Here is a 26,371-nt window from a genome sequence, read left to right as displayed (position 1 = left end):
CAATGCCACAGTTAAGAACACTGACTTCAAAGGCAAACCTGGGTTTGAATCCTGGTTTCAGCACCTTATGCAAGTTACTTAAACCCTCTGTGCCTCAATTACCTCATCTGTAAAATGGGCTTAAAAACAATACCTAGCTGATAGGATTGGTGAGAGATTTGAATGAACTAATGCTTGTAAGTCCCTTAGCTCAGAGCCTAGCACAGAGCTAATGCTTCCAAAGTATTCCTTGATATTGTCACCCAATCAAGCCTCTTCATTTTATAGGCAACAAAACTAGATTCAGAGAGAAGGGATTTATCTGCGATCATATGGCCAGTTAGTGGCAGAGCCAGGACTGGAGCCAGGCATCTCATCTCATCTCATCTCACCTGGTACAGACATCTTTCTACTGTACCACACACAGCATCGTGGATTTTCCCTCATTTCCTAACTTTAAGCAAAAGAGGTTGGGCCATTTCCCAGTTGGCCAGGTTTGTGCTGAACCAGCAATGTGTTGCAAGAGTCAGGCATCCTGGAGTGCATCCTGCGGTGCCGGCTCCCCTGTGAGCAGGAGCCAGCTCATGTCTGACAGTAACAGACTCTGTTCTAGGAGCTATCGAGCCCTGATAAAACTTATCCACAGAGCACTGAGCAACTGTCCTCTTATATTGTTATTATTTTATTTTGAGACATCTGTTGCCCTCTCAGGCTGGAGGGTAGTGGAGCAATCTGGGCTCACTGCAACCTCTGCCTCCCAGGTTCAAGAGATTCTCCCGCTTCAGCCTCCTGAGTAGCTGGGATTACAGGCACGTGCCACCATGCCTGGCTAATATTTGTATTTTTAGTAGAGACAAGGTTTCACTATGTTGGCCAGGCTGGTCTTGAACTCCTGACCTCAAGTGATCAGCCCACCTCAGCCTCCCAAATGTCCTCTTATTATTAATTTACTTTCTGGAAGCTGAAGCTCCAGAAAGAAGTTCACTAGATAGTGACACCACCACCAGCTTTCAAATGTTCTGGGAACAAAGTCTCTACATCCAGCCAGCCTCCAATCCACGTTCTTGAGCGTCTCTTTCTCTCCCCCCACCCCTCTCTCTCTCTCTCCAAAGACCCTCTCCTAATGCAGAGAGACCGGATCATTGACTATACTATGTGTCACTTTCCCCCACATCATACTATTTCACCTCAAATGCTCTTCTCTCTCCCTCTGCTCAAAGGACACACACAGACAACCACACATATGCCTAAGGTCTTTTGTTCTTTGGAAAGTGTTCAAATTGTCCACAGCAATATTTGGTTCTTGCTGGAAAAGGCCAGTAATCTACAGCCAGGGTAGGTTCAGTTCCTGGTGTCTCTGGAGAGGACAGATCCCATTAGCTCTGACAAACATCCCCAGTGTTCCTGCTCTTAACCTTTGTCAAATTTTCCAAAATCCAGCTAGACCCAGGGGCTCCTTGCAGGCAGTCGAGGCTGTGTCTGCTCCACTCAGTAGTCAGGTGGCCCACAGCTGCAAGGACCAGTCAGCTTTTTCTCAAGCCTGGGCCAGGCAAACTCTCTACATTTAGTAAACAGGGGCAAGAGGGATGCAGGGAGAGGTCTAAAAGATGGAAAAGGAGGGAGGGGTTATGGTTAGCCCCCTTTCAACAGTTCAGTGATAATGATGCTATAATTCTGTAGCAGAAAGTTTGCCCGCTTAGAAGTCAGGAGGGCTGAGTCCTAATCCTAGATCAGCCACTAAATGAACCATGTGCTCTTGGGCTGATCACTTTGCCTCTCTGCCTCAGTTTTCTCATTCTGCTATACAAGTGGGTTTGTCTTGAGAGTCTGTAAGAACCCTTCCAGCACTTCTGAAACACTGAAGTTTTTAGTGACAATCTTTAGTTCACATGACATGTTACAGTTTTTCAAGAACTTCCACATGCAAGCATCATTTGGAGCTACTGTGGGTTTGGTTCCAGACTACTGCAATAAAGTGAAAATTGCAATAAAGTCAATCACACAAGTTTTTTGGTTTCAAAATGCATGCAAAAGTTGTGTTTACCCTGTACTGTAGTCTATTAAGTGTGCAATAGCATTATGTCTAAAAACATCTTAATTAAAACATGCTTTATTGCTAAAAATGTTAACAATCATCTGAGCCTTCAGGGAGTCATAACCTTTTTGCTGGCGGAGGTCTTGCCTGGACATTAATGGCTGCTGACTGATCAAGGTGGTAGTTGCTCCAGGTTTGGGGTGGCCATGACAATTTCTTTCTTTCTTTCTTTCTTTTTTTTGAGATGGAGTTTCACTCTTGTTGCCCAGGCTGGAGTGCAGTGGCAGGATCTCGGCTCTCTGCAACCTCCGCCTCCCAGGTTCAATTAATACTCCTGCCTCAGCCTCCTGAGTAGCTGGCATTACAGGCATGCACCACCACACCCAGGTGTTTTGTATTTTTAGTAGAGATGGGGTTTCTCCATGTTGGTCAGGCTGGTCTCAAACTCCCGACCTCAGGTGATCTGCCCGCCTCGGCCTCCCAAAATACTGGGATTACAGGCACGAGCCACAGCGCCCAGTTCTTAAACTAAGAAAACAATGAAGTTTGCCACATAGATTGACTCTTCCTTTCTTGAAGATTTCCCTGTAGCATATGATGCTGTTTGATAGCATTTTACTCACAGTAGAACTTCTTTCAAAACTGGAGTAATCTTCTCAAACCCTACTACTGCTATCAACCAAGTTAATGCAATATTCATAATCTTTTGTTGGCATTTCAACAGTGTTCACAGCATCTTCACCAGGAATACATTCCATCTCAAGAAACCACATCCTTTACTCATCCATAAGAAGCAACTTCTCATCCATCCAAGTTTGATCATGAGGTTGCAGCAATTCAGTCACACCTTCAGGCTCCACTTCTAGTTCTCTTGCTATTCCCACCACATCTACAGTTACTTTCTCCACTGAAGTCTTGAACCCCTTAAAGTTATCCATGAGGATTGGAATCAACTTCTTCCAAACTCCTTTTAATTTTATAGTTTGATCTCCCATGAATCATGAATAATCATAATGGCATCTAGAATGGTAAATCCTTTCCGGAAGATTTCCATTTACTTTGCCCAGATCCATCAGAATCACTATCTATGGTGGCTATAGCTTTACAAAATGCATTTCTTAAATAATGAGACTTGAAAGTCAAAATTATTCCTTGATCCAGGGGCTGCAGAATGAATATTGGGTTAGCAGGCATAAAAACATTTATCTCCTTATAAATCTCCATCAGAGCTCTTTGGCAATGAGTTGCATTGTCAATGAGCAGTAAAATTTTGAAAAGAATTTTTTTTTTTCTGAGCAGTAGGTCTCAACAGCAAGCTTAAAATATCCAGTAAACCATGCTGTAAACCAATGTACTGTCATCCAGGGCTATGTTGTTCCACTGATACAGCACAAACAAACTCTATTTAGCATAGTTTTTTAGGGCCCTAGGATTTTCAGAATGGGCAAATGAGCATTGGCTTCAACTTAAAGTCACCAGCTGCATTATCCCCTAACAAAAGATTCAGCCTGTTCTTTGAAGATTTGAATCCAGGCATTGACTTCTCTCTAGTATGAAAGTCCTAGATGGTATCTTCTTCCAGTATGAGGCTATTTTGTCTATACTAAAAATCTGTTGTTCATTGTAGCCACCTTCATCAATGATCTTAGCTAGATCTTCTGGATAACTTGCTGCAGCTTCTGCTTTGGGACTTTCTGCTTCACCTTGCAGAAATCTCCATAGGCTTCACGTTTTCTTCTGCAGCTTCCTCACCTCTCTCTGCCTTCATAGAACTGAAGAGTGTTAGGGCCTTGCTCTGGATTTGGCTTTGACTTAAGGGAGTGTTGTCACTGCTTTGATCTTCTATCCAGACCAATAACACTTTCTCCATATCAGCAAGAAAACTATTTTGCTTTCTTATCATTTGTGTGTTCCCTGTAATATCACCTTCAATTTCCCTTAAGAACTTTTTCTTTGCATTCATGACTTGGGTAACTGTTTGGTGTAAGAGGTCTAGCTTTCAGCCCTTCTTGGCTTTCAACATGGCTTCCTCACTAGGCTTAATAATTTCTAGCTTTGAATTTAAAATGAGGAACATGCAAATCTTCCTCTCACTTAAACACTTAGAGGTCACTGTAGAATTATTAATTGGCCTAATTTCAATATTGTTGTGTCTCAGGCAACAGGAAGGCCCGAGGGGGAGAGAAAGAGAGGGAGAGAGAGAGATGGGGGAATGACCAGTTAGTAGAGCAATGGAGCAATCAGAACACACAATTACACTTATTAAATTCTCTGTCTTACACGGGTGCAGTTTGTGGTACCCCAAAACAATTACAACAGTAACATCAAAGATCACTGAGTACAGATCACCAAAACAGATAAAATAATCATGAAAAACTTTGAAATATTGCAAGAATTACCAAAATGTGGCACAGAGACACAAAATGAACACACAGTATTGGAAAAATGGTGCTGATAGACTTGCTTGACACAGGTTTGCCACAAACCTTCAATTAAAAAAAAAAAGCAGTATCTGCAAAGTGCAGTAAAGCAGAGTGCAGTACAACAAGTATATCTGTACCTTATTTTGTTTGTTTAATCCTCCTTAAAAACCCATTGATGTAGGTAAGGTATTTGGCAGATGACAAAACTAAGGTATGTGGTGAATAAGCAGTTACGGGCAAAACATGGCAGAGTTTACTGCCAAAATGAATGATCTCCACTTCTAGCCACTTCTGACTCAAGCTGCCCTTCTAGGTTTAGACCACTCTCCCCAGTGAAAGATCAACAAGACGGGCTCCTGGGAAATGCCAAAGAGGCTTTGTTGCCTTGGGTTCAGGGGTCAAAGGTCTAGGCTGTTCCTTAAGTCTTTTTGATGTCTTTTTTTAACATTTTTGGACCCAAGGGTGGGTTTGGCTTAGCTCCATACTCCACGTTTGCTTGCCATTTGAACTTCAGAGATGAAAGGCAGATCCCATAGCACTTAAGAGATTTTCCAGAACACTAGCTGGTCAGGGCAGAGCTAAACCTAAACGCAGGCCATCTACTTCCTACTGCTGAGCTAGTGCCCTCTGGAAGCATTGGCATATGGTGGTGGCCTCTGCTGCCCTGGCTAACTTGAGTCAGGGTCAGGGTCTTCCTACCTGTAACCCCTTCATCCCCACCCCAGGCACTGAAGCCCCACCATCTGTTTATGAGGCGGGTGGCCACAGAGATAGGCTGATGGTGAGGGGGTTTCACACACTGCGGTAACTAAGGCCTGAGCCCCACCCACTCTCCACCCCTGCGCTTAGTCCCACTTGACAGATAGAAGATCCTATTGTCCCTGAGCACTGTTAAGGGCTGAACTTTGTCCTCCAAAATCCATGTTGATGTCCTAACACCTAGTACCTCAGAACGTGACTGTATTTGGAGATAGGGTCTTTAAAGAGGTATTAAGGGTAAACGCAGTCATTAGGGTGGGCCCTACTCCAATATGACTAGCGTCCTTATAAGAAGAGGAAATGTGGATGTGGACACAGCCACACGCTGAGGGAAGACCCATGTGAAGACACAGAGAGAAGGCAGCCATCTGCAAGCCAAGGAGAGAGGCCTCCGAAGCAACCAAGTCTGCCAACACCTTGATCTTGGACTTCCAGCCTCCAGAATAGTGAGAAAATAAATTTCTGTTGTTTAAGCCCCCTGTACTTTGTCATGGCCGCTTTAGTAGACTCATGCGGGCACTTGCTGTAGACGCTGACCCCCTTGACCCTCCCTCGCTGCCCCTGCATTCTCCTCCACACACCCCTGAGCCCCAGCCCCAGATTCATCAAGTCCTTAGAGTCAGGAGAGTGGGCTCCATAAATCTGCAGCTACATTTTCCCATTTCAGGGCCTTTGAGGAGTGCTGGTTTGTGCTTCAAAGTGGGCCAGGGAAGGATAAACTGCCTTTGGAGCATTTGAGAGATTGAGGAGAGAACAGGAATCACCCAGAAAACAGACTGACGAATATTTTGAGTTAGAATCCTGCCACCCATGACAAGTCAGCTCCCACCCCTCCAGAGTCTCCAGCTAGAGCACTTGCAGTAAGAGTTCAGTGGGCCTTTCCAGGCAGCCAGGCATGTGCTGCCCTCCGGATTCATTAACAGGGTTTCTTGGGGTCAGAGGAGGTGCCAAAGCCCTGAGAGAAGCCAAGCCCCAGAGGACTCCCAAGTTCTCCCCGCAGACTCATATTCCTCTTGTAGGTGGGAAAGGGACGGAGAGGTGCAGGGGGAACGCCCTGTTCCACATGCCGTATTTACTCTGGGCATGGCTAATGACTCCAGGGCCTTATCATTCGGCCCTCAGACTGGGCTGGGCAGGTCTGAGAGTTAGGGAAAGTCCGTTCCCACTGCCCTCGGGGAGAGAAGAAAGGAGGGGGCAAGGGAGAAGCTGCTGGTCGGACTCACAATGAAAACGCTCCTTCTTTTGCTGCTGGTGCTCCTGGAGCTGGGAGAGGCCCAAGGATCCCTTCACAGGTGAGAAGACGTCCCCGCACTGTGTTCAGCTGGGTAGTCCCATGCCCTGCAACTCAGGGCTGCTCTGGGGTAGGAAAGCTGATGGGGAGGTGAAGAGGAGGAGAAGCTGAGGGCTTGCGTCAATGCATGGAAGAGACTCATCCAGTGACCGCCTGTGTATGGCCTTAATCTCCAGTCCTCAACAAGTCATCCTCCTGCCTCCACCTCCACGGAGGTGCCTTCCCAAGTCCCAGGGGTCTTCTTGTGTTGCAAAAGAGCAGGAACCTGCAGTTGTGGTTTGTAGCTCAAAGCGCCCCAGGACTTCCCCAGGGGACTGACCATCACTGTCCCCAAGAGTTTTTCTGTCCCTTTAAATCAGCCCTTCGTGATGTTCATGTAAAACTGTAGACCGCCCCACATCTCCCATTTTCCTAGATCTCAAAGACCTCAGCTCCAGGAGGGGAGCCATTTCCACTCTAAGATTCTAAGACTCTATAGGGCAGAGATGAGGCCGGGCAGGCTGAGTGGCAGAGAGGACGCTGATCCCACCTGTATCCTGCGTGCTGTCTTGCAGATCCCCCCCTCCCACCCCATCTTCTCTAGTTGGCCCCTGAGAAAATGGGACGAGAATGGGGGGAAGAGGGAGGCAGAAGTACATCTCCTGCTTACATGGGGGTTTGTCTCCAGGGTGCCCCTCAGGAGGCATCCGTCCCTCAAGAAGAAGCTGCGGGCACGGAGCCAGCTCTCTGAGTTCTGGAAATCCCATAATTTGGACATGATCCAGTTCACCGAGTCCTGCTCAATGGACCAGAGTGCCAAGGAACCCCTCATCAACTACTTGGATGTGAGGCCTCCTGGGGTCAGGGCTGGGGAGAGGTGGGAGCGGGAGGAAGGCCCAGCATTAGGGCATGGCCAGTGCCACATCAGTAGCACCGAAGGCCATTGTGGATTTCTTCACTTGGATGATGATCCATGGGGACTGATTCCCTGGGTCCCCATGGAGTTGGCTAAGCAGGCCCCCATGTACCCAAATGTCAGAGTTCTCTGCAGAAGGAAAGGGCTGGGAGTGAAAGCATCATCCCACACTGAAGGCCCCTGCTTCTGCTCTCAGCTGGGCAGCTTACTGGCTGTGTACCCTTAGGCAAGTTACTTAACCTCTCCCAGCCCCAGTTCCCTGGTCTGTAAAACAGATGGTTCTTCCTCCACTGCCTCTCCTACAATGTATTTATAAGAATCAGGTTAGTGCAAGTAAAATCAAATGAAGTAGCCAGAGGCTTGGTTTGATTTCCTCCTTCATGGCCATTTCTCTGCTCCTTTTACCTTTTATTTTCCAGCGTTGCCACTTCCTAGGCTCTGTAAACTCCAGTCTGTATTACCCCAGGCTCTGGCCCCTGGGAGCTTTCCCCTGGCTTCCTGGTGAGCACCCTTGTCCCTCCCCACCACCCACACCCTCTTTCCTTCTCACTCTTCCTTGCAGATGGAATACTTCGGCACTATCTCCATTGGCTCCCCACCACAGAACTTCACTGTCATCTTCGACACTGGCTCCTCCAACCTCTGGGTCCCCTCTGTGTACTGCACTAGCCCAGCCTGCAGTAAGTGGGGCCAGGAGCACCAGCAGAGAATGTCTGGGGGCTAGTCCTGGGAGGCCAAGCCTGGTACTCTGGGGAAGGGGGGCTTAGGTTCCAGAAACTGGCCATCCCTGCCACACCAGCTTCCACTCTCCATCTTTGAGTCAGCCGTGGAACTGCTTATAGCAGAGATAGAGCAAAGCCAAGGAAGAACTAAAATGTGGCTGCTGTCCAAGAGAGTAACTTTCATACTGATCAGAATTAATAGAAAGAAAGCCATTGAAAAGAGAAATCTTTGACATAATGACTCACTTCCTTTGGAACACCCAAAGGAATGTAGGGGAAGTTTAATTTAATTGGTTATTTCTGAGCAGGGAGGTGAGTCGGGTTCTAGTGTAGATAGTCTGCTTGTTTCAAGGAGGCTTGGTAGCCTTATCTCCTGGTGCACACAGGTGGGGCTGGTGGGGCACAATGGCATGGGTGGGTCCATTTGTCCAGAGGTAACTCAGAAGTTTCAGTGAGGATTGGAAAAGAAGAGCTACAGAAAGATGTCTTGTTCGATACAGGACAAGTCCCAGAGACAGAATGTCTCTGGAAACCCCAAGGCTAGAGATGTCCATCGGTTGGGAGAAAAGTTGGGAGTAATTTCCTGGGGCAATTGTTTATCCCTGAGTTTCTTTTGAAGCCAACCTCTGACCCACAATGGGTGGCAGGGACTGTGGCTGGCGCCTGATAAATGACACTTATCTTGGTGTGCCTCATGAGGTCATTGTGGACAATCAGGTTTGCTCAGGGATAGCTATTTGGTCCCCAGTTAGGCCACATCTGTAGCTAGAGGGAAATGTAGTTGTTCATTAGGGAGGGGCATCACCAGGCTTCTAGGGGCCCCCACTCAGTGTTGAGAGCTGAGGGAAGAGACCCTGCCGCTGTGGGGCTGGGTGGCATTAGGGCAGGGATGCAGCCAGTGAGCCGATGGCATAAGCAAGAGCAGTGCACTTCTTTCCAGAGACGCACAGCAGGTTCCAGCCTTCCCAGTCCAGCACATACAGCCAGCCAGGTCAATCTTTCTCCATTCAGTATGGAACCGGGAGCTTGTCCGGGATCATTGGAGCCGACCAAGTCTCTGTGAGTGCAAGTCCTTCATTTTTTCTCTCTTGGACAGAAACTTGGGAGACTTATTCAGAGGTCTTACATTTCAAATCTGCCTCAGGAATGGGTGGAAACAGGGGTTAGCACTAACTTCTAGGAGAAAGGGCAAGCAACACTCCCCACCTGAGATGGTGGCAGTGGGTCAGTCTCCACAGCACGCTGGGCCCTGGGGGAGAGCAGCACAGGGGGACTCTGGCAGGAAGCAGTGCCCAGTGCACAAAGCCTGGTGGCAGGGTGCACAGCTGGATCTCCAGTCTCTAGGGCATTGAGGAGATAAAACCACGTCTCCGTCTTGAAGGATAAAGAAGTCCACACCAGGGGGAGAGATTTGGACTCAGTAACATAAGGGGGCAAGGTCTGAAATGGGAGTCCAATCACAGAGGCAAGGCAGAAGCCCAGTTGTCCAAAGGCCAAGGTCCAAACTGAACTCAGTGCTGAGCTCATGAGCTGTTCCTCAAACTCCCTCTGACCTCTGACCCTCTGACTCCCTCTGAAGTCCTATGGGTCCTAGAACTATGGGAATCAGACAAATGTGGGGACAGAGAGCCAGGTACTTTTTCAGGCTTATAGACAGCAATATATGCCTGGGCCTTGGGAGAAAGAGAGGTTGACCTACTCCTGGTGAACGTTGGTCCCTGGGGTATTCCCGAGGCCAGCAGGGCACAGCCTTCATCAACATCCCTTAGAGTGGGTGGAGTAGGACATATTATCAACTGAAAGAATGCCAGAAGCAGAAAAACACCATCTATGTAAAAATATCATACAGATAAAACAATGTACTGTATTTTCTATTGGAACTATGTATGCGTGTGTATACACACATTACATATATAATATATAATATATAATATCCATATATGAATATATGTAATATACAGTATATTTGTATATATAATATATATCCATCTGTATATATTATATAGATACAATATGTAACATATTAAAGTATATAATAATTGCATAATTATATCATATAATACATGTTATATATTATATAATTAATATAATATGTAATACATTACATTAATATATGTTATATAATATATAATATATTATAGAATATAATTGATATAATGTATTATATTAATAATATAGTATGTGTTATATAATATATTAATATGTTGTATGTAATAATATATTACATAATATATTATGTTAATCTATTATATAATAGATTAACCTATTATATAATAGATTAACATAATATATTACATAATATGTTAATCTATTATATAATAGATTAACACAATATATATGTAATGTGTATATATTATGTTATATATAAGATTCTATATATATTATGACATATACATATATATTATATATCTAATTACATATAATATATATATAAAAGTTAAAATGACTATTTTGAAGGCTACATCCCTAACTGATCATCACAGTAACCTCTGAGATGCAGGGAAGGGACTGAAATTAGCATAGAAAGGGGAATTCAAGCCTATAGCTTGTCACGTATCTGTTGGCTCACCTGGCTGGTGTAGGGCAGCAGCCAAGCCCACAGCAATGTCAGCTGCATTGCTCCTTCCCTCAGTTTTTCTGGCTCCAGGACCAGGTGTGCACTTACCTCTAACAAATCATCAGCTTTTGCTGCATAACATCCCCATCATTGAGGCTGGAGACTTGGGGACAGTGAGAGAACAATGTGGGTTCCAGTCCACCCTCACCCTCATGGGTTCCAACTGGCCCTTTTTCTCCCACTTGACATCTATCTTCCCTTTCTGCTGTGCAAACTGTAGACTGCTGCTGCAGCATCAGGACAGAAACAGTATCCTAAAGTACACTGTTTAACTAGCACCCACAGTTGCATATAATCAATATCTATATCCACATCATTATAGCTATATCTATAATCTATAGTACCTCCTAATGGTTCTGCTTCTCTTATCAAACCCTGACTGACATAATAAAGATATGACATGTGAAAATTTGTAGATGAAGCTGATGCAGCCCTTAAAGGGACCATTTAGCCTAAAATGCATGCGTTGTTAATAGAAATGCTAATGATCAATTATCTAAGCTCCTATTTCAAGAAATGAATAACAAGAAAATGAGCAAACCGTAAACAAACAATAGCAAATCAAACCCAAAGAAATCAAAAGGAAGGAAATAATAAAGAGTAGAATGGGACACAAATGAAATAGAGAAATCACACAGTACAGAAAATTAACAAAGCCAAGAATGAACTCTTTGCAAAGAGTAATAAAATTGGTTAGCCTCTCACATGACTAAATAAGAAAAAAGAAAGAAAATACAACTTAACAATGTTAGAAATGAGAAAGAGAACATTAGTAAAGTTATCAAGAATAATTTTATATTGATAAATTTTACAATTTTCAGAAAATCAACAAATGCCTTGAGAAATACAGCATACCAAAACTGATGCAAAAACAAAAAATAGAAAATGTGAATCTTTTAAAGATATACTCTGTTATTAAAAAATCTTTCCACAAAGAAAACTCCACGAAGAAAAGCCTCACTGATAAATTCTCTCAACACTAAAAAAAATCAGTCTTTCACAAACTCTTCCAGATATTTGACAAAGTAAAAACACTTTATAACTCATTTTATGAAACCAGCATAACTTTAATAATGAAACTTGAAAAGGACATTATAACAAAAGAAAATATAAAATTACAGACCAATCTCTTCTCTCATGAATATAGATGCAAAAGTTCTAAATGAAATACTAGCAAATAAAATCTTTTGGTATATAAAAAGATCATACCAAGGGTCATCTTTCCAGGAATTTATCATTTAACAGAATAAAAGGAGAAAAATCATATGACCAATATGATTATATTAGTAGGTTAATAACATTCAATATCTATTCATGACTTCAAGAAAAACTCTTAGCAAACTAGGAGTAGAAAGTAACTCCCTTAATCTGATAAAAATGAAGGACTTCATCTAAAAGAAGCCCACAGCAAACTTTATACTTAATGGTGAATTGTCGAGAGACTTCTCCATAAGATCAAGAATGAGACAAGGACACTCAATCTCACCACTTCTATTCAACATTGTACTGAAAATCCTAGCCAGTGCAACAAGGCAAGAAAAAAGAAATAAAGAACATTAAGATGGAAAAGGAAGAAATAACTCTGTCAATATTAATGTATGACAAGATTCCATAAGTAGAAAATCCAAAAATATCTACAGAAAGGATATTGGGATTAATATGTGAACTTAGCGAAGTTGCTGGATATGAGGTCAACATAAAAAAAATCATCTGGGGCCAGGCACAGTGGCTCACGCCTGTAATCCCAGCACTTTGGGAGGCCGAGGCAGGTGGATCATGAGGTCAGGAGTTTGAGACCAGCCTGACCAACATTTCTCTACTAAAAATACAAAAATTAGCCAGGCGTGGTGGCACACGCCTGTAGTCCCAGCTACTCAGGAGGCTGAGGCAGAAGAACTGCTTGAACCCAGGAGGTGGAGGTTGCAGTGAGCCAAGATCATGCCATGGCACTCCAGCCTGAGTGACAGAGTGAGACTCTGTCTCAAAAAAAATCATTTGGATTTATATATACAGGTTATGGATCCTTATCCCAAATGCTTGGGACCGGAAGCCTTTTAGATTTCAAATTTTTTCAGATTTTGAAATATTTGCATTATACTTACCAGTTTAGTATCCCAAATCTGAAAATCCATAATCTGTAATGCTCCAATGAGCATTTTCTTTGAGCCTCATGTTGGCACTCAAAAAGTTTTGGATTTTGAAGCACTTCAGTTTCAGATTTTCAGATTTGTGATGCTCAACCTGTAGCAAGTAAAACAAATGGCAAATAGATTTTTAATGACACTATTTATAATACTATCAAAACCATCAGCTACTTTGATGTAAATTTAACAAAAAATGTGCGAGAACTCTACTCTGATAATAGCAAACATTACTAAATAAAAGTAAAAGACTTGCATAAAAATCACAAACATTAATGAATAAAATTAAAAGAAGACCTGTATTGAAAACTAAACCATGCTCATAGATTGAATGACTCTGTTTCATTAAAAAGTCAAATTTTTTCAAATTGGTCTATACAACCAATTTTATTCCAATCAAAACAACAGCATTTTTTCTTAGACATTAGCAAACTGATTCTAACATTTATATGGATATGTAATACACCAATACAATCTTGCTGAAGAAAAACACTGGTAAATATTAAGATTTATTATAAAGTTACAGTAATGTAGACGTGTGGTGTTGGCACAGAATTTAAAAAATAAACAAATGTAACAGAACAGAAAATACAAAACTATCAACACAGTCATCTGACTTGCGTTGAACAAGATACTGCAGTATGTGGAGGAAATGATGGTATATTTATTAAATAGTGCCAGGTCATATGAATATCCAGATAGAAAAAAATAAATCTTAATTCCTACCTTACACATTATCACATTTCATATAGGTTCCAGATCGCAATGTGAAAAGTAAACAATAAAGCTTTTAGAAGAAAACATGAGAAAATGTTTTCATGACCTTAAGGTAGGCAAAATTTTCTGAAACAAGTTACAAAAAAACAGTGTACAATAAGCACATGATGAGTGACAGAAGCCAGATACCAAAGAGTTCATATGGGATGATTCCATTTATATAAAATCCAAAAAATAGGCAAAACCAATATATGTTATTAGAAGTCAGGAGACTGGCTCTTCTTGAGGAGGGGCGCAATGATTGGCAGGTGCATGAGGGCTTCTGAGGTTTGGAATGTCCTGTTTTTTGGGAATATAGCAAGCATCTTTGTGCTCATTTAGTCAAGGAAAGTTGGGAAGGAGAGGCATTAGCTTCAAGACAGAGGAAAATCCAGGAGTCAAACCCTTTGCCAGCAATCCCCTGTGCCATTCTCCTGTTCTCCTGTGGGCTTTCTCCTACCAGGTGGAAGGACTAACCGTGGTTGGCCAGCAGTTTGGAGAAAGTGTCACAGAGCCAGGCCAGACCTTTGTGGATGCAGAGTTTGATGGAATTCTGGGCCTGGGATACCCCTCCTTGGCTGTGGGAGGAGTGACTCCAGTATTTGACAACATGATGGCTCAGAACCTGGTGGACTTGCCGATGTTTTCTGTCTACATGAGCAGGTAAGGCCCATCAAGTCTGTGAGGTTAAAGTCAGTTATAACTACAGGGAGACAACACATACACTTGACTTAGCAGTCAAAAGACCTGGTTTAGGTAGCTTGGTCCATTACCAGCTGTGTGATCTTAGTCAAAACATTTAACCTCTCTGAATATTGAGGAAATGGGATTTGCTTCATCAAGTAGCTGTAAAAACACTTTGTAAACTCTACCACACTGGCTTAAATTTAAGGAATCTCTGGGATTGGTTCTTCATTGATGCTGTCACTAAATATCAAGCTCCTATTATATGCTGATTATGATGCTCACACTGGGGACCCAGTGAAACAAGAAAGACAGTACCTGCAGGAGGAGGAGGCAGAAAAAAATGAAAAGCTGACAATAAAATAATTGCATGCTGATGGATGAATAAACAAAATGTGGCATATCCAAATAATCAAATATTATTCAGCCTTAAAAAGGAAGAAAATTCTGAGACATGCTACAACATAGAAGAAACTTGAGGACATAATGCTAAGTGAAATAAGCTAGTCACAAAAAGACAAATACTGTATGATTCCACTTAGGTGAGGTACCTAGACTAGTCAAATTCATAGGCAGAAAGTAGACTGCCAGTTGCCAGAGCCTGGGGAGGGGAAGTGAGGAATTCTTAAACCGTTGTTGATGGCCTAATGGGTATAAAGTTCCAGTTCTGTAAAATGAAAGGTCTGGATTTTACAACAGTGTGAACATACTTAACACTACTGAATTGTAGACTCAAAAATGGGTAAGATAGTACATTTTATGTGACATATTTTTACAACAATTTTTAAAATTGCACATTGTTTTTGGAAAAGGTCATGAGGCTCACCTGTTTCTAGGCACTCTTGCCCGGCATCCTTGGAGGGTCATCTCCTCTTCCTCCTTACACAGGAAGGTGATTTCTGACCTTGCTGACTTTTTCCAGCTCAGACCTGGCCTGCGTTCACACTGTTTCAGCATAAGCCCATTCCTCTCATTCCCCTCTCCCACATGGAGGGTCCTGGATTTTCCCTATCAAGCTATGTTTCCTCTCCAGCATGACAGCACTCAGGACCAGGCCTAGGAAGAGCTGTGAGTAAGAGAGGCAAGTTGTCTAGACACCTCTGCTTCCCCTTGCAGAACTTCCTTCTCCCGTCGCCTGGGAAAAGTGGGCTGTAATGGAGAATATCAAGGCTTGGCAGTCAGACTGGCCTGGATTTGAATCCTGCCACTTACATTGCTTCATCTCACTGAGGCTCAGTTTCTTCCACGGACCACTAGGTTGATGTGAGTTAAATAAGTTTAGACAGATAAAATCCCCACTACACGGCCTTGCACCAAGGTAATCAACAAATGTGAGTTCCTTTCCCCACTCCCTCTGTAAAACCACTGTCCTAAAATTCCTACAGGTATTCACTCCTCTCCCTCTTTACCACCCTGATTTCAGTTTTGTATCTTTCTGATCCTTTTCCTCCTCAAAATGAATCTGTCTTAGGTCCTATTTCTCCAGAGTCCTGCTAGGTTCCAGAACATAATCTGAGAAATCAATACCAATGAAAATAAGTTTTCAGGCTCTAGTAAGTCATGATACATTCATATTAGCCTCTTTGCCTTAACATAAGGAGTGAATAACACAAAAACGCCAGGCACTGTCACAACCATAGTGGGGAAGATACTTTGGGAAAAGGTGTCTTTGGGGGTTGCTTCAAGCCACACAGTGTATACCCACCCAGGATGGTCCTGGCCTTGGTTCTGAATGACAGACCTGCTGGCCCCATTTCCCACCTCCTTAACCTTTTTATCCAAGAAGCAGAAACACATTCACAAATGGTCAAGGGGAGTTGTTTCTAACCTTGTGTCAAAAAGGCCCAGACCAATTCACTTGCAGTAGTCAGAGTCCCGGTCTCAAAGCCCAGACTGATGTTTCTGCCTACCTGTGTGCTTGGCATGAGACCAAGAAGCAAAGGGTCCTAGCTGAGGCTCACCCCTAGAGTTTTGCAGTGGCCCTTCCTGGACAGTTTGTCTTTCTCTCCATGTAGTAACCCAGAAGGTGGTGCGGGGAGCGAGCTGATTTTTGGAGGCTACGACCACTCCCATTTCTCTGGGAGCCTGAATTGGGTCCCAGTCACCAAGCAAGCTTACTGGCAGATTGCACTGGATAAGTGAGTATTCCCCATGAAGTAGTGACAGTACTAGGGGTAAACTGAAAAGAGGCACAACTCAAACCGATTTAACTGAAAAACCACTGGTCACTAGCAGAGGATGCCAGAAGCTTACTGTGGTTGGAGGTATGGAGGTGCTGAGCAAGTGTGCAGGAAGGGACCTCTGTAACCAGGGCAGCAGACACAGCTTCCTTCCTTGTACACATGGCGTGCTTTTAACTCAACATACAGTCAATACCAGTGCACAGCCTGCTCCCCTTTGTTCTTTTAACATTAACACACAAGGCAAGGGATGAGTAACATGGGGGGTTGCACAGGTGAATTGGGCTCAGATCTTGTCCTCAAAAAACTTGTACAGAAGATGAGATGCACCCAAACCACTATCCTGTAAAATGGAAGGTGGTCAGTGCTCCAAGAGAGGTGCCACCAATGTGGTCCAGCAGACAGGCATGACCGCTTCTATCTGAATGCTCCAGTGCATCATGGAGGGGGTTACATTGAAACTGAGCCAGGAAATATATACAATATCTGGGCACGAAGCAATTGGGGAAGTGGGACTACATGCCTGCCTCATACCTAGCGCCGTGCTAGACAATGCAGGAATTGGAAAAGTGTAGTTCAAGTTTCAATTCAGCTAGGATTGAGTTCCTGCAAGGTACCAGGCATTAGGAATGCAAAAAATAAAAGGCCTCAATGCTCACTGTCTATTCAGAGTTTTTCAAACTGTAGGAATTCACCTATTTATGGGTCATGACATCATTTTAGAAGATCCTGACCTGACCAGGTGTGGTGGCTCACACCTGTAATCCCAGGACTTTGGGAGGCCGAGGCAGGTGGATCACAAGGTCAAGAGATTGAGACACCTACATTTTTTAGACGAATTGGAATACAGTAGAAAATACCAGAGTGCACTTCAATTGCATGAATGTGTGTGTGTGTGCACTGGGTCAAGAAGTAAACAGATTTCTTCCTATGGATCTCAGTAGAAAACAATTGAGGAACACTCATATGGTGGGTGGAAATCATTGATGTGCTCCAGGCATTTGAGAGGCCAAAAAAGAGTGGGAGTTTCCTAGGAGCCGGGGGAGGGAAGGTGGGCCGACCACAACCCTGTCCCCTCAGCATCCAGGTGGGAGGCACTGTTATGTTCTGCTCCGAGGGCTGCCAGGCCATTGTGGACACAGGGACTTCCCTCATCACTGGCCCTTCCGACAAGATTAAGCAGCTGCAAAACGCCATTGGGGCAGCCCCCGTGGATGGAGAAGTGAGTGCCTGCCTGCGCAAGGGAGTGGTGGGGACAGGAGAGCCAGGCCTTCTCTTGGGAGGTGGCAAGGCTCTAAACGGATCCTCCGTATTGGGTTTTAGTATGCTGTGGAGTGTGCCAACCTTAACGTCATGCCGGATGTCACCTTCACCATTAACGGAGTCCCCTATACCCTCAGCCCAACTGCCTACACCCTACTGGTAAGAACTGTTTCCTTATTCTGCAGGCCACAGGGCCCTCCCCACATGCCTGCCACTTCCCCTTTTCAATCGCCTGCACTTTGCCCGCCTTTACCCTAAGCCCCGCCCCACGTTGTTCTGCTCTCATGTGGCATTCCCTCTGGGAGGGACACAGCTGCCTGTGGTGGAAAGACCACGGGGCTTGCTCTAATTTCCAGTTCTGCCATGAAGCAGTAGTGAACTTCAGGCAAGCCATTTAAGGAAGTCTTCTGATATTGCCATGTAGGGCTTTTCCACTGACAAAGTTTAATCTCCTCAACCACCAGGTCAGACTGGAGCTATTACTATCTCATTTTATAGGTGAGAATATCAAGACTCAGAGAGTCAAATAAATGGTTCAAGATATGAGCTGTTTGCAGGGAGGAGTGGAGAATAAGATTATATTTGTTCTAACTTCAAATTAACATTCCTCCTCTAGCAAGAAAATGTCTTTTGTTGCAGTAAATTCTCAAGTTTGTAGGGTGAAGTAGAAAGGGAACTCCCAGACCTTTTGGACACCTATGAGCACCTCACACCACAGTTGGTCTGAATTTTCAGCATTCTAGGTATTCGGCACCACACTTCAACACACTAATTTTTCCAAGAGTCACTCACAGCATCAGGGTGACTGCATCAGAAGAGGGGTGCTAAGGTATAGACTGAGGGCTTCAGCCCTACCCCTAAGCCTCTATTAACTCCTTCCCAAAGCCACCAACAGACAATCCAAATAAAAACAAATGTTTGCTTTAAAACACAGCTTCATGGTAAGTCCCCTAAGCTCCTGCCACATAGGGATTATGGAGCTGCCACTCTGAACACCACACTGAGGACCAGTGAGACATTTAGACTGAGCCCTGTTCATCAGTCCACATGCCCATCAACACCCCAGCACACCCACACTCTCACCTTCCCCCACGTGAGTTGAGTCCCTGCCCAGGTGGAAATCACTGATGTGCTCCAGGCGCTGGAGAGCCCAAAAAAGAGTGGGAGTTTCCTAGAAGCCAGGGGAGGGGAGGTGCGTGGTTCTTTCCCGGTATGGTGAGTGGTTCTTTTAGAAGATCATTTTAGAAGATCATGACCTGACCGGGCATGGTGACTCACACCTGTAATCCCAGGACTTTGGGAGGCCGAGGCGGGTGGATCACAAGGTCTTGTGCTGGTTCTTTCGCAGTACAGTGAGTGGTTCTTTCCCACCAGCAGATTTCAATCAGAGCCACCTTGATCCATCAAAACTGCTGTAAAAATTTTGACTTTTCACGTCCTTCCTCTCAAGAAGTCTCCCTGAGCCCTCTGCAAATTTTCCCACACCCTCATCAGCAACTTCACATTTCAAATCATTGTTGGAAAGACCACACTTGCCTGGTAGAGCACGTCTTTGCCAAACTAAAAATTAGATTGGAGAAGGTGACACTCTTCTCTTGAACAAGGAATGCCTACTTGCCTCATCTAAAGGGGGTCACTCAAATGTTTGTTTCCAGAACATCAACAAGAAAATAGCAGTGGATAGCCACTAACACAGTTCTTTCTCTCCCTTAACAAAAACTAAGCTGAGCTTCACTAGAAACTAAAGAAACCAGAATTTAAACCAAGGTCTTCCGGTGCCAACCCTTTTGCTCTTCTAGCCATGCAGCAAGGGTTTCCCAGTTGTAAAATGATGGTGACAGGGGTAGGTGGGAGTATATAACAGATGAACAGTTCTCAAAATTGTAGAACATAGACCCCAGGCCCATAAGAATGGACTTGTGCAGACAAACACTTTATTAAGCAACCTAGGGTAGGGACATATGAAGCAGGAGGAAGAACCCACCGACCAAAATGGTGGAACCCACCAGCTGTCCAAGGCCACCCAGTGCCAGCCACCACCACCACACAGGCAGCCTCCAGGCAGTACTACTACCTTCTTCCCCCGTTTGTCATTTGCATCCTTCTTTCCAACCCACAGGACTTCGTGGATGGAATGCAGTTCTGCAGCAGTGGCTTTCAAGGACTTGACATCCACCCTCCAGCTGGGCCCCTCTGGATCCTGGGGGATGTCTTCATTCGACAGTTTTACTCAGTCTTTGACCGTGGGAATAACCGTGTGGGACTGGCCCCAGCAGTCCCCTAAGGAGGGGCCTTGTGTCTGTGCCTGCCTGTCTGACAGACCTTGAATATGTTAGGCTGGGGCATTCTTTACACCTACAAAAAGTTATTTTCCAGAGAATGTAGCTGTTTCCAGGGTTGCAACTTGAATTAAGACCAAACAGAACATGAGAATACACACACACACACACATATACACACACACACACTTCACACATACACACCACTCCCACCACCGTCATGATGGAGGAATTACGTTATACATTCATATTTTGTATTGATTTTTGATTATGAAAATCAAAAATTTTCACATTTGATTATGAAAATCTCCAAACATATGCACAAGCAGAGATCATGGTATAATAAATCCCTTTGCAACTCCACTCAGCCCTGACAACCCATCCACACACGGCCAGGCCTGTTTATCTACACTGCTGCCCACTCCTCTCTCCAGCTCCACATGCTGTACCTGGATCATTCTGAAGCAAATTCCGAGCATTACATCATTTTGTCCATAAATATTTCTAACATCCTTAAATATACAATCGGAATTCAAGCATCTCCCATTGTCCCACAAATGTTTGGCTGTTTTTGTAGTTGGATTGTTTGTATTAGGATTCAAGCAAGGCCCATATATTGCATTTATTTGAAATGTCTGTAAGTCTCTTTCCATCTACAGAGTTTAGCACATTTGAACGTTGCTGGTTGAAATCCCGAGGTGTCATTTGACATGGTTCTCTGAACTTATCTTTCCTATAAAATGGTAGTTAGATCTGGAGGTCTGATTTTGTGGCAAAAATACTTCCTAGGTGGTGCTGGGTACTTCTTGTTGCATCCTGTCAGGAGGCAGATAATGCTGGTGCCTCTCTATTGGTAATGTTAAGACTGCTGGGTGGGTTTGGAGTTCTTGGCTTTAATCATTCATTACAAAGTTCAGCATTTTACCTGATCGTTTCAGTGGTCATTGATGATCATTGCTGAGATCCACACTATAATTAGGGGCGGCAGAACAGGTGTTTTTCTAATTCTGCTATCCCTTTGGCATTTGTTAGTTGGAATTCTTCTATAAAAAACATAGGCTGGGTACAGTGGCTCACGCCTGTAATCCTAGCACTTTCGGAGGCCAAGGCAGGCAGATCACGAGGTCAAGAGATGGAGACTATCCTGGCCAACATGGTTAAACCCCTTCTCTACTAAAAGTACAAAAATTAGCCAGGCATGGTGGCACACGCCTGTAGTCCCAGCTACCCAGGAAGCTGAGGCAGGAGAATCGCTTGAACCCAGGAGACAGAGGCTGCAGTGAGCCAAGATCACGCCACTGCACTCCAGCCTGGCAACAGAGCGAGACTCCTTCTCAAAATAAAAAAAATAATAATAATCTTTGGCTGGGCACGATGGCTCACGTCTGTCCCAGCACTCTGGGAAGCCAAGGAAGGAGGATTGCTTGAGCCCAGGGTGTCAAAGTTGCAGTGATCTATGACCTTGCCACTGTACTCCAATCTGGGTGATAGAGCAAGACCTTGTCTTGAAAACAAGATAAAACAAGATAAAACCTTTCCCTCATCAACCATTTGCCCAGGAAAGAAGACAATTACTTGGGGTTTTGTTTCCTTTGTTTACCAGTTTTCAGAATGAGTTGGTACTATATTAAACACCAAAGAATTTTAAACATATTTGATGTGTTTCAACTCACCAATTTTTTCTTTAATGCCAAATCACCCTATCTTTAGCCAGTGGGTGACCTTCAAATTAGTTCCTGTGAACTTTTCCAGCCCATCTTGCACACTTCCAGTCCCATATGTGGCATCAGCCATTGTTCCACAGAGTCCTGGTTCCTCAGTGGCCTCGGGTAATGATGTCATGTCCCTAAGACACTCACCTCTCAGAGCTGTTGGGAAGAATCAATGATCTTACCTGGGTGGAAGCACCTGGCTAAGAGTGGTAACTTCCCTTCTGATTTGGGTGTCATGCTCAGAGTAGATCACAACTACACATCTGCACACATACATTTTTTGTTTGGTTTTTACTTTTATTTTTCCTTTTTGAGGAAATTATTGCTTTTAAAGTCAATTTAGAACAGCCTGATACAAACGAGCTATGAAAGCAGTGTAGTAGAACAGTTAACAACACTGGCTCCGGAGTCAGGCAGGCTTGGATTTCATTCCTAGCATCAGTTGTGGGACTTCTGCACCTCAGTTTGTTCATCTGTCAAATGGACATCATAATAGGAACTACAGTTGACCCCTGAACAACACAGGTTTGGACTTGCATGATTTCACTTATTCACAGATTTTATTTTTTCAACCAAAGGCAGATCAAAAATATAGCATTCAGCCAGTGCTGTGGCTCACACCTGTAATCCCAGCACTTTGGGAGGCTGAGGTGGGTGGATCACTTGAGGTCAGGAGTTCGAGACCAGCCCGGTCAACATGGTGAAACCCCATCTCTACTAAAAATACAAAAATTACCCGGGCATAGTGGCAGGCGCCTGTAATCCCAGCTATTCGGGAGGATGAGGCAGGAGAATTGCTTGAACCCAGGGGGTGGAGGTTGCAGTGAGCCAAGATCGTGCCACTGCACTCCAGCCTCAGCGACAGAGACTCCATCTCAAAAAAAAAAAAAAAATACAGTATTCTCGGGATGCAAAACCCATGTATGTGGAGGATGGACTTATCCTATATGTGGGTTCTTCGGGGCCAACCGCAGGACTTGGGTGTGCTCAAATTTTAATATACTTGGGGGTCCTGAAAGCAGTTCCCCACATACACCAAGGGACGACTGTGCTGCATGGGGTTATTGTGAGGATGCAATGACATTGCACATACGTAAACATTTACCTAGCTTACATGCCTGTGCTCATCAGGCCACAGACCTTCACTCTGCATAGGCGAGTCTCATAAAAGGCAGAAAGCCCTACAGTAAATGGCTTTATGATTTTTCATCTAAGACAAAGCACCCCAAGAGCCATGTGGGAGCCCATTGTCAGACAGCACCCCTGAGGGTTTTCGGAAGGGCCGTTTCTGTGCAAGGGCTGCCCTGGCTGTTGAATGTGCTGGTCTGGTGCTGGCCAGGAGTCTGAGTAGTGGAGGCTGCAGTGTGAAAGTGATGCCTAAGCCACACAACATCATTCAGTCTTCACAACGACCCTGCTGGTTCTGCCACAGAAATCCTTCTGTGATCTGTTTCCTTGTCCCCACCCTCCAGTCATTACCTTTCACCAGAAATATTCCAGGAACATCCTGACAGTGATTCTGTCTCTTGCCCTCCGACAAACCAGTGCCTGATCGGTAAATATTTCTGAAGCCCAGCTCTAATCACACCCTTCCCCTGATGTACACTTCGCAATGGTGCCCCGCTGCACGCCAGATGCAATCCAAGCTGATGCAACTTCCAGGGTTCCCAGGGCTTTGCCTCAGTTTGACCACTTGTTCTCCCTGGACATCTAGTCTACCCTGCACCAAACGGAATCATCCCGATTTTCTTACTTGTACACTTAGTCCTAGGATTCCATCTCCTCTGTTCATCAGAGGAACATGCCGTTTCCCCAAAATGACTCCCTTTCAATGAGTGTTAAGATGACAGTGAAAAGCTGTCAGACACAGTGCTGTGAGACACTAGACTGAAATCTCAGCCCATGGGATGCACTGTGAAGGTGCTCAGCTATGACTTGGAGCCCTTCCCGTACACTCTGTCTTCTGCCAGCCAGAGGTTCAGCATCTCCTCTCCCTGGCCCCACATCGTTTCTCTGCATATTGAGCCTGACTTCCTGCTCCATTCACCACACATCTGCACAATCCTATCCTCAGCATCCTTCAAGCTCCAATTCAAGTGCCTCCTTTCCATAAAGCCCTCTTCGACTTCTCCTAACTAGAACTAATCTCTCCTTCCTCTAAATCCCCACAACCCTTAAGCTGTGTTTCTTATGCCATTATTTGCTCCATGTTTTATTTCCACTGAAAAAATGCAATTCTCCATTTCTGCACCCTTGAAAGGGTCTGAAAGGCTCAGATCATTGAATGAACACCTACAGGAGGAAAGGAAGGAAGCAGTGAGGATGAATACAGCGTCAGGGCCTCCTCTGCAGGGTCGAAGCTGGCGTCATTCTCCTCTGGAGCATGTGTCACAGGAACAGAAGGGAAATTGCTGACTTTTCATCCACGTGGCTGGAGGAAGTGGGGACTAGAGTCTGAGGGTGGCTGACGACTTGGCTTCCAAAGGTGTTGGGATAGTTCTGCAAATAGACCCTGAAAGTACCAGTTTCAGTCCCATGTGCAAAGGCTGTAAGGACCAGCATGGACAGTTCACTTCCCATTCCCAAAGCACCCTCGGCAGCAGTGGGCCCCACAAGAACGCTCACATCTTCTCTAAAAGAGGATCAAATGTGCCTCTACGCCCCTGTGGGGGCTTGCTGTCTAATCCCTTCTCTCTCTCTCTCTCTCGCACGTGCACACACACACACACACACAAGTGTTCACTTAAAACTTGGCCTCAGAAAAAAGTAGAAGACTATGGGAGGAAATTCTAAAGGGCAACAATTTAAGAACAAGTCAGTCATCAAAAATTAGTGGTTGGCCTGAGGGTGGCCTGATGCCCGCTTTCCCAAGTCACCCAGGTGGAATATTTGGGGTGAATGTGCTCTAGGGTGGAGGTTTTCCAGCTTCAGTGTGTGCCACCCAGTGCTGCTCTCCATGGAAACCTTTGCCTCCTCCCTCCAGGAATGTTTGCTAATTGAAACAAGGAAATCAGCTTCACCTTTTTTTCCACTGAAGAAACCACACACAACATACCCAGGCCAGGCCTGTACCTGGCACCGTGAGCAGCCCAGTGTGGGATTCAAGGATACTCGCTCTGCACCCCCCCGAGAAATGTGTAGTCTAATCGGCCAGATGAGACGTAGACAGCAGCCACAGAGCAGAGTCAGAGACTTCTGTTGGATACGAGGAAGAACTCCCTGACCCAGAGGATTATTAGATGAAGAATGGGCCCAAGGAGGCACAATCTGCCCCCAGAGATGTGGGGGCAGAAGGGGACATCCAATGCATTACACGACTTGAGGGGGCTCTGGTGAGGCCTTGTATCCCCTGAGCAAGGCCTGTCTAAACTCATTTCATTCTGCTTTCATCCGCCAGTCATAGCGATTCCAGGCATGGTTCCAGGCAGCTCAAAGAGATACCAAATTAGCCGCATGCTAGCGGCGTTTTAAATTGCTGTAGTCTCCTAGGTACTTCAGGTTGGGTCACAATCCTCACTTGAGAGGAGACGTCAGGACTTGCCTCATATCTCACAAGCCTGGTGTGGAGTTTAATGTATGTATTTGTTGTGTGTGTGTGTGTGTGTGCGCGCGCGCATGTGTGCGTGGCATGGGTGTGTGTGATGTGTTTGTGTGATGTGTGTTGTCTGTGGTATGTATATATGTTGTTTGTGTGTGTGGTGTGTGTGTGTGCGATGTGTGTGTGGTGTGTGTGGTGTGTATGTAATTTGTGTGCGTGATGTGCATGTGTGTGGTATGCATATGTGTTGCTTCTGTGTGTAAGTGTATGTATGTTGTTTGTGTGTGTGGTGTGTATGTATGTGTGTGTATGTGTGTGTATGTGGTGTGTATGTGGTGTGTATGTGTGTGTGTGGTGGTGTGTCTGTGGTATATATGGTGTGTATGTGGTGTGTTTGTGTAGTACGTGTGTATTGTGTGTGCTATGTATGTGTGGTGTGTATGTGTGGAGTGTGTGTTGTGTGTGGTATATATGTATGGTGTTTGTGTGTGGAGTGTACGTGTGGTGTGTATCTTGTATGTGGCATGTATGTGTGCTGTGTGTGGTGTGTTTGTGTTTTGTGTGTGTTGTGGTATGTATGCATGGCATTTGTGTGTGGTGTGTATGTGTGGTGTGTTTGTGTAGTGTGTGTTGTGTGTGGTATGTATGTGTGGTGTTTGTGTGGTGTGTTTGCTGTGTGTGTTGTGTGTGATATGGATCTGTGATGTTTGTGTGTGGTGTGTATGTGTGGGGTGTGTGTGTGATGTGTGTGTGGTGTGTGGTATGTATGTGTGGTGTTTGTGTGTGGTGTGTATGTGCGGGGGTGTGTGCGGTGTGTGTGTATGGTGTGTTTGTGTGATGTGTGTGATGTGTGGTGCGTGTGTTATTTGTGTGTGTTGTGTGTGGTATGTATGTGTGGAGTTTGTGTATGTGGTGTGTGTGTGTGGTGTGTATATTGTGTGTATGTTTGGGTGTTGCTTGCATGTGTGGTGTGCATGTGTGGGGTGTGTGTGGGCAGTGTGTGTGGTGTGTGGCATGTATGTATGTTTTCTGTGTGTGTGCTGTGTGTATTGGAGTAGGGGAGGAGTGTGTGTGTGTGTGTGTGTGTGTGTGTGTGT

The 26,371-nt window shown here is 44.7% G+C and overlaps 1 protein-coding gene across 5 annotated transcripts, besides 1 other annotated feature; it reads left to right on the top strand.

The window, feature by feature from the left end:
• CTSE (cathepsin E) lies at positions 6,317 to 20,948 on the top strand. 5 transcript variants are annotated; one of them, NM_001910.4, is made up of 9 exons: positions 6,317 to 6,488; positions 7,155 to 7,311; positions 7,945 to 8,062; positions 9,045 to 9,163; positions 14,082 to 14,281; positions 16,318 to 16,440; positions 17,563 to 17,704; positions 17,806 to 17,904; positions 19,865 to 20,948. In NM_001910.4, the coding sequence occupies exons 1-9, from the start codon at positions 6,421 to 6,423 to the stop codon at positions 20,027 to 20,029; spliced, it is 1,191 nt and encodes a 396-aa protein (NP_001901.1). In that variant the 5' UTR covers positions 6,317 to 6,420; the 3' UTR covers positions 20,030 to 20,948. The 5 variants fall into 5 exon arrangements, with proteins under 5 accessions (NP_001901.1, XP_011507546.1, NP_683865.1 ...); XM_011509244.2 differs by having other exon boundaries at positions 14,067 to 14,281; NM_148964.3 differs by lacking the exon at positions 17,563 to 17,704.
• Positions 17,791 to 18,291: an enhancer, noted in NCBI's record as "H3K4me1 hESC enhancer chr1:206328947-206329447 (GRCh37/hg19 assembly coordinates)". NCBI's record gives its function as "activates a minimal SCP1, AML or CMV promoter by ChIP-STARR-seq in naive H9 embryonic stem cells {active_cell/tissue: H9 hESC(naive)}" and the evidence as "EXISTENCE:reporter gene assay evidence [ECO:0000049][PMID:30033119]".

The sequence above is a fragment of the Homo sapiens genome, chromosome 1 (genome assembly GCF_000001405.40).
Source record: "Homo sapiens chromosome 1, GRCh38.p14 Primary Assembly".
Classification (NCBI taxonomy): Eukaryota; Metazoa; Chordata; class Mammalia; order Primates; family Hominidae; genus Homo; species Homo sapiens.
The sequence above is the reverse complement of the archived record's forward strand: the minus strand, read 5'-3'. Positions and strand labels throughout refer to the sequence as shown.

Excerpts from the sequence above, each read along its gene's own strand:
- CTSE (XM_011509244.2), top strand. The coding sequence starts at position 6,421 with ATGAAAACGCTCCTTCTTTTGCTGCTGGTGCTCCTGGAGCTGGGAGAG. Across the intron at positions 9,164-14,066 it reads TTGGAGCCGACCAAGTCTCT|GCTTTCTCCTACCAGGTGGA; the intron begins GTGAGTGCAAGT and ends GTTCTCCTGTGG. Across the intron at positions 17,905-19,864 it reads CAACTGCCTACACCCTACTG|GACTTCGTGGATGGAATGCA; the intron begins GTAAGAACTGTT and ends TCCAACCCACAG.